The sequence below is a fragment of the Homo sapiens genome, chromosome 2 (genome assembly GCF_000001405.40).
Source record: "Homo sapiens chromosome 2, GRCh38.p14 Primary Assembly".
Lineage (NCBI taxonomy): Eukaryota > Metazoa > Chordata > Mammalia > Primates > Hominidae > Homo > Homo sapiens.
The window spans coordinates 122,031,785-122,045,805 of NC_000002.12; the positions used below are offsets into that span (position 1 = coordinate 122,031,785).

Consider the following 14,021-nt stretch of genomic DNA (forward strand, 5'->3'; position numbering starts at 1 on the left):
GTTAGGGGTGACTTCCTGGGGGCAGGTGAGAGTGGTTTCAGGCCAGGGTGGATGAGGAAAGGGCGGGGGGCATTTCAGGCTGGAGTACTGCCTGGGCAAAGGGGCAAAGGAAGGAATGAGCCCACGTGTGCTTGCCTTCCTTCACACCTGAGCTTCAGTTAGCCGCCAAGTGCTGCACATTTCTTTCCTAGATACTGCTCAGATACAGCCTCCTCTTTCTGATGCTGGGCTCGCTGCCATCCTACTGGCCTTAGCAGCTTCCTGGCGACAGTCCAGGAACTGTCCTCCAGCTGTGTTACTGTCCTCAGCCAGCCTCCCCAGAGCCACCAGGGTGCTCTCTGGAAATGCAAATCTCCCTTTGCTTAAACCACTTACGGGTTTTATTGTCTTCAGAATGAAGATGAACTTCCTCGGTGTGGCTCACCAAATCCTTCCTGGGCTGGCTTTGTCTTGACAGTGTCACTTCATCTTTTTCTAGCTCTCGTGCTCCTGCTACACTGCATGGTCTGTGGCTTTGTGAATGAGCCATGCTGTGTTCTGGTGTGACTTTTCATAGACCACCCCTCTTACTTGGACACCACTCACCTCCTTTTTGGCAATCCAATCCCTACTCACCTGCACACAGGGTACTGAGCCCGTGTGTCTTGTGCTTCTGGTGTTTGCGATCATCCCTGGCTCGCCCGCCTGGCTCCCTCGCTGGTGGTAAGCTCTCTGAAGGCAGCAGCCAAGTCTCACTGGACTTGGTTTCCTCTGTGTTGAGGACTGCATCTGACTCTTTACAGGTGCTGATGAATAATTATTTCTGAGATCAGCCTGGCTGAAGATGGAAAAGGCATTTGGGAGTGGCTGGGTCCTGAGTAGATGTGGTGGGTGGACAGAAGAGGAAGCCGTTGGAGGTTCAGAAAGCCAGAGAGGAGACTCTTAATTGGATTGGAAGGAGAGGAGCTAAGATTTGCTACTTTTTCACATTTGAAGAAGGTAAAATGGCAGCACATCCTTCTTTGTAGTTTGAATTAGTGGCACTGAAAGATAGTCTCCTGCTTCCAGCACAGATACTGAAGAAAACTGAACATCTTTGCCTGCACCTGCTCACCTCCAGCTCTGCATGTCTATAGCTCCATGTGCCAAGGCTGGCTGTTGTGTTGTGTGCAGGTTGCTGCAAACTGTGACCCTGTGGGCATATAGGAATTCTTCCGAGGGGGTGCTCGTTTTGAGGTCCTCCAAGGTGGCTTCTTGGGGAAGAAATCAGAACCAAATTTATAGGCAGGAAACTCCCCTCTCTAAAAGCATATCCTCTTGTATTCAGATTTGAAGGACAGGAGTGTCCTGGCATGGGCTCACAGCATCTTGGGTGATGCTGACATGGTGCCCACTACAAAGATATAAGGCAGGTCCAAGAAAGGGGAGCCCCTCTAGGGAAAGGAGGGCTACAAGTGAAAGATGAGGTCATATTGCTTGATAATTTGGGCTATCAATTTTCAAAGTTCTTTTTTAACCTTTGACACTTGATGTGATCTTATCTGAATATTCTAGCCTTGCCTCAGCTGTGCAATGGCACCTGAGAGAAAGATTTCATATTACTCTTGGATCTGATTAGTAAAAGCCTTCAGACCCCCATCCCCAAGTCCAAGGAGAAGTTAACCATAGAAGGGCAAATCTGGGCTCTGGGGCCCAAAGCCTCTCCCCCTGAGATGAGTCTCCTCCCATGGCACTTTTTGGATGACTCGTTTCCTTTATTCAGAAGGGCTGCTATCGCATTTCAGATCTTCTTGAAGTAGAAGCAGGTCTCACCTCTTTTTCTGGTATTCAGTGGCACTTCTTAGAGGAATTGCTTCATTTTCCCCTGTTATGAAGATCTGTATGCAAACCTACCTCTTTGGCTAGATTGTAAACTGCTCGAAGACAGGGACTACATCTTTTTATCTCTTTCTAGTCTGGCAGAAGTTTACTAAATATTAGAATGAATGTTGGGTGATCTGGGGCAGCCTGATTCTCTCAGTGCCTCATTCTCCCTTTTCTCTACCGTGCCATGTGTCAAAACATTTCACTGGTGTCTTGGTTGCAGCCAAGTGGAACATTCTGTTGACAGAATGGGATTGCCTGTGGCAATTTCCTCAATGCAACATTCAGGACCGCTTTAATTTTTCACATTTTATGAGGCTTTCCCTTCCTGAAATTGCTTTCTTGTGGCTTTGGCTAATAGTTTCACACCTGATGCCAGAAAGGGAGACAGAGCCTTAATGGGTGAAAACACAGGTGTAGTGGAAATTGCCTCTAAGTAAACTCCAAGACTGGGTGTTGGGGGATGATGTGGTAGGAATGGCTTCACTCAGTTTGCATGGGTGTTGAAATGATATATACGTTTCTTGCCTCTCAATTGAAACATATTCACTGGGTCCCTAACATGAAATAAAAAATCTTTTTAAGGCCTCTGCCAAACAAGAAATCTATAACTCTATTGTCTATTAATTCATTCAACAAGCCTAATTGTGTGTCTCCTCTAGTGGTCGAAGAGCAAATTAAAGGTGGTTTTGAGGTCTCATTCATCTCTGCCTTCCCAAGGTTCCTCATTGTTTCCACTTGGTGTATGCTCAGTAAATGTTGTCCACCTGCTGTTGAATGATGCGTCTTTTCCACCTGGGATTTCTTATGTCCTGTGGCATTAGGACCATAGCGACAACCACATCTCCCTAGCAACAACTCTGGGTGATAGAGATGGATCATACCATAATTGCAAATCCCAGACCTCTGAAAAAGAATGTGATTATTTGGCGGCAGAGCAATGAAAACAGCAGATAAAAGAAGTGTTATGGAAGGACAAATTAGCAGGATGCCTCAGGCCTGTTTAATCCTTAACAACCCACTTCTCATTGCCTTTGTCTATCAAAAATAGTGAATGCCAAGGGTTTTACCCCCTCCCAGAGGTCCAGAACAGCGTCCGGACTCAATACAGTTTCTAAAATATTGGGAGATATTTTTAGAGTCATTCAAACCTTTTTGTTGTCATTTTGTGTTGGCAGTTCACAGGACTTGTGCTGTTTGATCTCCAAACTGTCTTTTACTCCTCAGTCTGAAGTGGGGATTTAAATATAAAGGGGGGGAGGGGGGATGGAGGAGACACACAAAACAGATGGCGGCCTTGCTGCTGCGACCTGTAGAGATGACATTCCTCTGACAACTTCCTTTCTCCCCAGAGTTCCCTTTTGGGTAACGCAGAGCAGAGAATTCTCTTATTGATCTTGAAACTGAAAGAGTTAGTTCCCAGTCACTGCAATTGACAAAGGCTTTTGCAGCTCATTAACTGCCGGATTATGTGGCACAATTCATTAAAATTCTGTTTCATTGACTGCATTTGTAAATAGGCTTGGGGAAGTTTATCACTTTTGCCTCTTGCAGAGCTTTCCTTCAATGAGTGCATTTTTCTTCCCCTTTCTCCTGGTAGAAAAAGTCTGAAATAATTTGCCACAAGATGTATCATTTAAATGTAAACGAAAATGAAATACTGGCTAGGAATTACAGGTTTGGATTTTTTTTCTCTCCATTTGCTATGATCTGATTATTTGGGTTACTTTAATAAATACATTTGCTTCAAGCTCTTGCCACATTACTTTTGCATAAATCATCAGACTTCTTAGCAGGCCTCTGCGCTGTAATTGCTTTTATTTGAATATAAGCAGAAAGGGAAAGATTAAAGGGAACTTAAAAAAAATCTTCCTTTTATTAATACCTAAGCATTAAAGAAGTTATTCTCTGTAAAGCACTCATTTTAAGATGAACCCAGAACACAGGACAAAGAGCAGGAAACCAGGCTCTGGGCGTCACCCTTCCCTTTCAGGTGTTCCATGGAGCCATTTGCTTTCCCTAGAGGAGGCATTTTCTCTAAAGGACCATGTAGTATATATTTTCAGGCTCTATGGTCTCTATTGCAAGTACTTAGCTGTGCCATTGTAGCACAAAAATAGCCATAGACCCAGGTGCGGTGGCTCACGCCTGTAGTCCCAGCGCTTTGGGAGGCTGAGGAGGGCAGATCACGAGGTCAGTAGATCGAGACCATCTTGGCCAAGATGGCGAAACCCCGTCTCTACTAAAAATACAAAAATTAGCTGGGCATGGTGGTGCGTGCCTGTAATCCCAGCTACTCAGGAGGCTGAGGCAGGAGAATCACTTGAACCTGGGAGGTGGAGGTTGCAGTGAGCCGAGATCGCGACACTGCACTCCAGCCTGGGTGACAGAGTGCGACTCCATCTCAAAAAAAAAAAAAAAAATAGCCATAGACCTGGGGTCTTCAGCCCCTGGGCTGTGGACCAGTACCAATCTGTGTCCTGTTAGGAACAGGGCTGCACAGCAAGAGGTAAGCAGTGGGTGAGTGAGCGTTACCACCTGAGCTCCTCCTCCTGTCAGATCAGCTGCGGCATTAGATTCTCTTGGGAGCGCGAACCCTGTTGTGAACTGTGCATGCGAGGGATCTAGGTGGTTGTGCACTCCTTATGAGAATCTGACTAATGCCTGATGATCTGAGGTTGAACAGTTTCATCCCCAAACCATCCTTACTCCCAACACCCGTCCATGGAGAAATTGTCTTCCATGGAACTGACCCCTGGTGCCAAAAAGACTGGGGACCGCTGCCACAGACAACACTTCCATGAGTGAGCATGGCTACATTTCAATGTGCTTTTATCTATGGATACTGAAGTGTGAATTTTCTGTAATTTTCAAGCATCATGAAATGCTTTCCCTGCTCCTTACCCTTTCTTTCTAACCATTCGAATGTGTAAAAACCATTTGTAGTTTGAGGGCTGTCTAAACATAGGAGGCAGGTGGGATTTGGCCCACTGGAGGGTTCTAGTTTGCTGACCGCTGCCCTGGAGCACTGGTTCCCAGCTGTGGCCCCTGGATTGGTGCATCAGCATGACAGGGAGCTTGTGAGACCTGTTGAAGGTTAGTCTTGATTTGAGAATGTGGGAGTGTCCCAAACACCACAGTCTGTAGTTGGACTAAGAATTCCTTTCTTTCTTTTCTTTTTTTTCTTTTTTTTTTGAGATGGAGTCTCACCCTGTCACCCAGGCTGGAGTGCAACGGCATGATCTTTGCTCACTGCAACCTCTGCCTCCCAGGTTCCAGCTATTCTCCTGCCCCAGCCTCCTGAGTAGCTGGGATTACAGGCACGCACCACCATGCCCAGCTAATTTTTGTATCTTTAGTAGAGACGGGGTATCATCATGCTGGCCAGGCTGGTTTTGAACTCCTGGCCTCATGATCCGCCCACCTTGGGCTCCCAAAGTGCTGAGATTACAGGCATGAGCCACTGTGCCCGGCATGGACTAAGAATTTCTTCAGACACCTGCTTTCATTCCTCTGATACTTACAAGAAGGTCTTGTTGTCTGCCCTGGGTCATCCTGGCCACGCCATGAGGGGTTGTGGGTGGGAATGTGGGGATCTCTTGCCAAGGGCGTTGCTGTGGTAAACAATGGCACTTATGTGTTTGTTATTGGCCGATTTTCATCAGAGGCAGAGCGGGTAAAGTCCTTACATTTCAGCATTTCCTGAGTGTTAGAAATGAGATTGAAGTGCCTTTACTGCAAAGCACCTGTGGGTGCTCCTTGCACTCTGGACAGAATGTCACTTGAGAGCCATGCTGTCCTGCAATTCAACAGTGTCATTTCAGCCCTCTCTCAATACCCAGTGAATCTTGGTTAGGAAGAGTAGCTTGGATTGTCTAATCAAACTTCTTTGCAGCTGAGCTCGACAACACTGATATTTTTTTTTAATTTGTAAAGTCTTTTTTTTTTATTATTATACTTTAAGTTCTAGGGTACATGTGCACAACATGCAGGTTTGTTACATATGTATACATGTGCCATGTTGGTGTGCTCTACCCATTAACTCGTCATTTACATTAGGTAGATCTCCTAATGCTTTCCCTCCCCGCTCCCCCCACCCCATGACAGGCCCCGGTGTGTGATGTTCCCCACCCTGTGTCCAAGTGTTCTCATTGTTCAATTCCCAACTATGAGTGAGAACATGCAGTGTTTGGTTTTTTGTCCTTGAGATAGTTTGCTGAGAATGATGGTTTCCAACTTCATCCATGTCCCTACAAAGGACATGAACTCATCTTTTTTTTATGGCTGCATAGTATTCCATGGTGTATATGTGCCACATATTCTTAATCCAGTCTCTCATTGATGGACATTTGGGTTGGTTCCAAGTCTTTGCTATTGTGAATAGTGCCGCAATAAACATACGTGGGCATGTGTCTTTATAGCAGCATGATTTATAATCCTTTGAGTATATACCCAGTAATGGGATGGCTGGGTCAAATGGTATATCTAGTTCTAGATCCTTGAGGAATCGCCACACTGTCTTCCACAATGGTTGAACTAGTTTACAGTCCCACCAACAGTGTAAAAGTGTTCCTATTTCTCCACATCCTCTCCAGCACCTGTTGTGTCCTGATTTTTCAATGATTGCCCTTCTAACTGGTGTGAGATGGTATCTCATTGTGGTCTTGATTTGCATTTCTCTGATGGCCAGAGATGATGAGCATTTTTTCATGTGTCTGTTGGCTGCATAAATGTCTTCTTTTGAGAAGTGTCTGTTCATATCCTTTGCCCACTTGTTGATGGGGTTGATTGTTCTTTTCTTGTAAATTTGTTTGAATTCTTTGTAGATTCTGGATATTAGCCCTTTGTCCGATGAGTAGATTGCAAAAATTTTCTCCCATTCTGTAGGTTGCCTGTTCACTCTGATGGTAGTTTCTTTTGCTGTGCAGAAGCTCTTTAGTTTAATTAGATCCCATTTGTCAGTGTTGGCTTTTGTTGCCTTTGCTTTTGGTGTTTTGTTCAACATATGCAAATCAATAAATGTAATCCAACATATAAACAGAACCAAAGACAAAAAACCACATGATTATCTCAATAGATGCAGAAAAGGCCTTCGACAAAATTCAACAGCCCTTCGTGCTAAAAACTGTCACTAAATTAGGTATCGATGGGACGTATCTCAAAATAATAGGAGCTATTTATGACAAACCCACAGCCAATATCATACTAAATGGGAAAAAACTGGAAGCATTCCCTTTGAAAACTGGCACAAGACAGGGATGCCCTCTCTCACCACTCCTGTTCAACATAGCGTTGGAAGTTCTGGCCAGGGCTGTCAGGCAGGAGAAAGAAATAAAGAGTATTCAATTAGGAAAAGAGGAAGTCAAATTGTCCCTGTTTGCGGATGACATCATTGTATATTTAGAAAACCCCATTGTCTCAGCCCAAAATCTCCTTAAGCTGATAAGCAACTTCAGCAAAGTCTCAGGATACAAAATCAATATGCAAAAATCACAAGCATTCTTATACACCGATAACAGACAAACAGAGCAAAACCACGAGTGAACTCCCATTCACAATTGCTTCAAAGAGAATAAAATACCTAGGAATCCAACTTACAAGGGATGTGAAGGACCTCTTCATGGAGAACTATAAACCACTGCTCAACAAAATAAAAGAGGATACAAACAAATGGAAGAACATTCCATGCTCATGGATAGGAAGAATCAATATCGTGAAAATGGCCATACTGCCCAAGGTAATTTATAGATTCAATGCCATCCCCATCAAGCTACCAATGACTTTCTTCACAGAATTGGAAAAAACTACTTTAAAGGTCATATGGAATCAAAAAAGGGCCTGCATTGCCAAGACAATCCTAAGCCAAAAGAACAAAGCTGGAAGCATCACACTACCTGACTTCAAACTATACTACAAGGCTATAGTAACCAAAACAGCATGGTACTGGTAACAAAACAGAGATATAGACCAATGGAACAGAACAGAGCCCTCAGAAATAATACCACACATCTACAACCATCTGATCTTTGACAAACCTGACAAAAACAAGAAATGGGGAAAGGATTCCCTATTTAATGAATGGTGTTGGGAAAACTGGCTAGCCATATGTAGAAACTGGATCCCTTCCTTACACCTTATACAAAAATTAATTCAAGATGGATTAAAGACTTAAAGATTAGACCTAAAACCATAAAAACCCTAGAAGGAAACCTAGGCAATACCATTCAGGACAACACTGATTTTTAATGATGCAATCCTGATCCCATATGGTACAATGACAACACCAATAACTACCGATTGCACTGAGCCTCTGCTAATGTTCCTGGAATTCACGTATATGAACTCAGAGCCTTGAAATAGGACCCTGAGAATGGAAAATATATGTTGATGTCCTAATCCCGGAATGAAGACTCCTAGTTTAAGTAGTTTTGCTAAGAACCTCTCATAGTTGGGAAGTGGCTGAGTCACTTTGCACATTCAGATTGATCAGAATCAAACGTTTCTGTTTTTTTCCTTCTAGGTCACTCTAGGTTCAGAAATTACTAATTTATTACTTTTTCTAAGAAGCAGGAATCAGGAAAATATAAACTGCTTGAAGTACCAGTCTTCTTTACGAAGTCTTCACGTGCCCCAGGAGTCCTCCAGTTAGGGTGCCATTAGCCAGGAGAGCTCCTGCCCAGGTAAGTCCTCCCTTCGTGACTGGGAAAGAACCACCTCTATGACCCTTTAGGTTATGCAGAGCTGTGGCTGAGGGCACTGGCTGCTTGTGACGGGCCCATCCACTGTATTCCTTAAGCATGGCCGAAAGTGGAAAATTGCTCCTACAGATCATTGGCTCCATTTCTGTGACTTTTTTGCATGCTAGATGGGTAATAACTGCATGACATTACGGAATGTCATCTCCTGTCTTGTAAAAGAAAATGAACATCTACTTGCTTTAGGCTTTGCAACTGGAATTGTATTTACAGGGCTTGGGACCAAATACTGGCGTGAAGATAGCCTTGCAACATTCCTTCTTTCTCCCTTGTAGGAGCATAAAGAAAGCTTAGAGTCAAACACTTCTAGACAACAGTGGGAGGTGCACATTAGGAGACAACAGCCGCTCCCGTATCTCTGCATTCAAATGTAGTACCATAATGATCTTCTCCCTAAATTCACATCCTCTCCCTCAGCTTTTCTGCCAGTAAATTCAGGCCTGGAGGCTGAGACTGATTGCCTGGGGAAGGGGGAAAGGACCATTGCCTGCAACAAAAGTGCCAGTTTTAGCTTGAGTTTCAAACTAAAGGTTTTAAAGACTTGAAGACCAAGCTAACAAGAGAGAAAAAGGGGTTTTATGGGCTTTCCCCAGATTTTCTTTTTACATATTGTCCCCAACTACCCATTCTCCGTCTTTTTCTTATTGATAGAATTTGTACCCAGCCACATTGACACCCAGAATGGAGCTACCTTGCCCAGCTTCCCTTACAACCAGGCAAGGATGTCACAATGTAGAACCAATGGGATGAAGGCAGAAACGTTGTGCGGCAGCTGCTGAGAACCTTCCTTAAAACCTAGTCAGAATGAACCCTATACAACCCTATACCCATCTGCCTTGGCATACAGTTGTTGAATCCTGGGCTGCGAGGACAGAGGTCCCTTCCAGGGGTGATGGAGTGGTGAGTAGAAGGGAGCCTGGGTCCTGAGGACTTAAGGCAGAGTTGCCTTACCAGCTGTGGAAGGCAGAGCTTGGGCCTCATGACTTTTGCCCTTGGCATTATTCATGGATATGTTACATTACATGGCAAAATGTAATTAAGGTACCAATTAGTTGACCTTAAAATCGGAAGATTGTCCTGGATTCACCAGGTGGACCTAGTTTAAATTGTATGAGCCCTTGAAAGGGAAGATCTTTTTCCAGCCCGTCGCAGAAGGGGAAGGCAGAGATTTGAAGCATGAGAAGGATTCGCCATGCAATTATTGGCTTGAAGATGAGGGCATCTGCATGTCAAGGAGATAGGGATCTCAGTTTCACAACTGCAATGAACTGAATTCTGCTAACAACCTAGATGCACTTGTAAGTGGATTCTTCCCCAGAGTCTGCAGACAGCCCAGCCCAGCCAACACTTTGAAAGCCAAAGTGGATTTTAGCTTTGAGAGTCCCTGAGCACAGAACGCAACTGCGCCACACTGTACCAGGACTTCTGGTCCATGGATGCTGTGAGCTAATAACTTTGTGTCTTTTAAAGCTGCTGCATGTGTGGTGATTTGCTATGCAGCAATAGACAATGGACAGGCTAGCCTGTATGTAAGTGAAAAACATCGTTTGTTTTCTTCTCAATTGCAGCCCAACCTGATCACAACTAATGCACAAACAAATAATCCAAGGCTGAACTGTTGACTGTGGAGACAGGAGATGCAGTGAAGAATATTTCTATTTGAGTGACCCAGGTGGAGGAAGAGAGTGGAGGCAAGAATATAGATGTAAGCATCCTTGACCTCCCCAATTCATTGCTGGGCAGGAGGCAGATAAACAGAGGCTTCCAGAAGGGTTCATGTGAGTCCTGGAGCAGAAGGTTTGTCCATGCATCTTCAGACATGGCCTGGAAAGATTACTCACCTCTCAGAAAAATCTGGGGGGCTGCTGCTTCTCATATTGAGTTAGAAGGCAGAGCTTGGACACTGGACCAAATTGAGGACTAGCTAAAATGCGGATGGGGCAAAAACAACTTTCTATAAGATATGCCCAACAGAGTGCCATGTCGGTTTACCATTGCCAGGGCAACACTCGAGCGGTACCACCTTTGTCCATGGCAATGACTCAACCACCTAGAAATTACCACTCTTTTTCAAGAAATTTTTGCATAATCTGTCCCTTAATTTTCAAAGTAAATATAAGTGTGAGTACAAAACTGCTTCTGAGCTGCTGCTCTGGGCACACTGCCTCTGGGGTAGCCCTGCTCCACAAGGCACAACACCTCTGCTGCTGCTTCAATAGAAGTTGCTGTCTAGCACCACTGGCTCACCCTTAAATTCTTTCCTGGGCAAAGGCAACAACCCTCCCAGGTGAAGCCTCGATTTTGGGTTCACCTGCCTTGCATCAGTATGACACGCAAAAGCAAAGAGAAGATTCTTGGCGGTGGGTGTGAGATGTGATTCTCAGGTTCCCAGGGTCTTGGGCAAGCTATTCCTTGGAGCTGGGCATGCGATGGGTGTGATGGCAGCCTTGGGCTCTCCAAAGAAAGGCAGCCCCAGCAGGACAGTGGAATTGGTGGGGAAGAAACACAGCCTTGCAGGCCATGAGTCCCCCTAGCCACAGACACCTACCTTCACAGTGGGTCCAGCAGGGAGCCAGCCACTCTCTCAGAGCACCAGGACCCTAACCTTTCCCAGTGTCCACCTGCTGCTGGGGAGTAGGAAGAAGCAGGATGTTCTTGAGGAGAGGAGACATTCAGGAAGACTAATTACCCAACTGCCTCCGACTGACAAGATTGAGCATTTACAGGTATCTTGCAATCAATAAGAGTTCAAGAGCAAGATAAGCTGAGGTACAAAAAATAATGATGGTCACCTTTTGTTTTGTTTTGTTTTCTCGTTTGGCTCATATTGTATAGTTTTCTAGCTTATAATGTAAAGATTTATCCTTTCCACATTTTTGTTTTTTCCCCATAATTTTCATTCTTTATTTTAAAAGACTTTCTTCTTACTGGAAAAAAAAAGCATAATTCTATGTCCAACACTGTACTGAATGCTGTGTTTTTTTTTAAACTAAATACATTTTAATAGAAAACAAAATGCAAAATAACTCTTTTCAGAAAACAAATATTTAATCCTTTTCCCACAAATTAGAACTTGCTTTATCCTCAGAGCACCATTGAATTATTTAGTTTATATTTTCTTCCTTTTTAAATTCTTCCTCCTCCTCTTCTTCTTCTTCTCCTTCTCCTTCTTCTTCTTGTCGTCCAGGCTGGAGTGCAGTGGCGTGATTTTGGCTCACCACAACCTCCACCTCCGGGTTCAAGTGATTCTCCTGCCTCAGCCTCCCGAGTAGCTGGGATTACAGGAATGTGCCACCACACTTGGCTAATTTTGCATTTTTAGTAGAGACAGGGTTTTAGCATGTTGGTCAGGCTGGTCTCGAACTCCCAACCTCAGGTGATCTGCCCACCTCAGCCTCCTAAGTGCTGGGATTACAGGCATGAGCCATCGCACCCAGCCACACTTTTCTTCTCTTATGGGCCTCACAACACAGCTGGTGAGACAACACCAGTCCTCAGGAATAAGTTGGTGTCCATACTGGGGAATTAGGAGCTACAGGGAGAATTTGAGGCATTAAGAAGGGAGTCCATGTGACGGTCTTATGATATTTCTGTAGAGAAATCAGCCCATGCATTAACTGGGCAAGGAGGGCCTGCACTGGGGGCTGGAAATGACTGCTTTCTGCTGTGGAAGAAACCTAGAAATAACAGGGAAGCTGGGGAGAAAAAGATGCCCACTCCAAGTACAAGACCATGAGTACTCTTCCAGTCCACATGCCAGCAGGCATGAGAAGGACGAAACTTGGCGCACCAATTTTGGCCTCTGACAATGTACTGGGTGCACCCCAGAAAATCCAGACCCTATTCAGACATGCAGTTCCCTCGATTTGGGGATCTGTCTGGGCTTGCCATCCTCTTGCAGCACTGCCTGGGCATATCTGCTCCAGGTTTCTCTGCTCCACTGTGTTTGGGCGCCTGATTCTCATGGGGCTGGGCACGCAGTTTGGATTTGCTTACACTTCACCGATCTTCTATTCCTTTCAATCCCTAGGATTTCTGGTCCACTTCACTGAATCTAGCGTGAAGGGCTTTCTCTCCATGCTTAGCCTGATTTCAGACCTTAACAATGTGCCCTGGCCAGGAAAACCCTTCCCTGGCCTGTCCTGATAGACTAGGGGGCCAGGGAGCAAGACTCACAGTATCCAAAGTTGGGACTCCCTTTAAGGAGAAGGGAACTAAAGAAGCTAAGGAACTGGTTCTAGGTTGCATAGATCATGACTGGAACTCTTGTCTGTGTGGCTGCAAATTCCATGTTCTTTTCCCTACAATGTGGTGGTGGTTGGAGCTGGCAAACCCCAATGCCCTCATGGGCCAGGAAGATGGTGCAAAGCCTCCATGGTGAAAAGAGAGAAAGTAGAAACTGTGGTCTCCAGTTGGAGAGTGCAAGTCCTGCCTAAAGTCATCCAAGTTAAAAAACAAACAAAAAACACTGAACTGGCCAAACAATACAACTCCTGTCCAGGCTGAGCCATGAGACAAGCGTTTTGTGATTCCTGCTCTACTGTTACCTACCTGCTGGAGAGCCATCTAGTCCACTTGGCACTGAGTGGCTTGATCTTACAGTTCAGCTTTGCATCCCCAGAGCCAAGCACAGTGCCTGGGATGTACAGGTGTTGCATAAGTGATTGTTGACATTGCATGTATATTTGTAAGGGACCTTAAATCTATCCTGGAACAAGAGGGATTAAAAGTTTTTTTTTTTTCTCTTTTTTTGTGACGGAGTCTCACTGTGTCGCCCAGGCTGGAGTGCAGTGGCGTGATCTTGGCTCACTGCAAGCTCTGCCTCCCGGGTTCATGGCATTCTCCTGCCTCAGCCTCTCAGCCTCCCGAGTAGCTGGGACTACAGGCGCCTGCCTGTACACCTGGCTAATTTTTTGTATTTTTAGTAGAGACGGTGTTTCACCCTGTTAGCCAGGATGGTCTCGATCTCCTGACCTCGTGATCCACCCGCCTTGGCCTCCCAAAGTGCTGGGATTACAGGCGTAAGCCACCGCGCCCCGCCGGGATTAAAAGTTTTAAAGAAGGGCCAGGCATGGTGTCTCATGCCTGTAATCCCAGCACTTTGGGAGGCCGAGGTGGGATGATCACCTGAGGTTAGGAGTTCGAGACCAGGCTGACCAACATGGAGAAACCTCGTCTGTACTAAAAATACAAAAATAGCTGGGCATGGTGGTTTATGCCTGTAATCCCAGCTACTTGGGAGGCTGAGGCAGGAGAATCACTTGAACCTGGGAGACGCAGGTTGCAGTGAGCTGAGATCGCGCCATTGCACTCCAGCCTGGGCAACAAGAGCAAAACTCTGTCTCAAAAAAAAAAAAAAAAAAAGTTTTAAAGAAGTTTGAACAAACAGCCCTATGCAAAGGCTGAAACCTTCACCCTTTTTTT

At 45.1% G+C, this 14,021-nt stretch overlaps 1 long non-coding RNA gene across 8 annotated transcripts in view, besides 1 other annotated feature; it reads left to right on the plus strand.

The window, feature by feature from the left end:
• LOC105373592 (uncharacterized) overlaps positions 1–14,021 on the plus strand; it is a 530,486-nt gene that overhangs the window by 129,332 nt on the left and 387,133 nt on the right. The window contains exons 3-4 of one of the 8 annotated variants that reach the window (XR_923283.3): positions 8,407–8,522; positions 9,249–13,350. The exons of 6 other annotated variants lie outside the window; for them this stretch is intronic. This is a non-coding gene — a long non-coding RNA (uncharacterized LOC105373592). Of the gene's footprint in view, positions 1–8,406; positions 8,523–9,248; positions 13,351–14,021 lie in introns of those variants that run through there. One more of the 8 variants, XR_923284.3, reaches the window with a different exon arrangement.
• Positions 12,180–12,680: an enhancer, noted in NCBI's record as "H3K27ac hESC enhancer chr2:122801540-122802040 (GRCh37/hg19 assembly coordinates)". NCBI's record gives its function as "activates a minimal SCP1, AML or CMV promoter by ChIP-STARR-seq in primed H9 embryonic stem cells {active_cell/tissue: H9 hESC(primed)}" and the evidence as "EXISTENCE:reporter gene assay evidence [ECO:0000049][PMID:30033119]".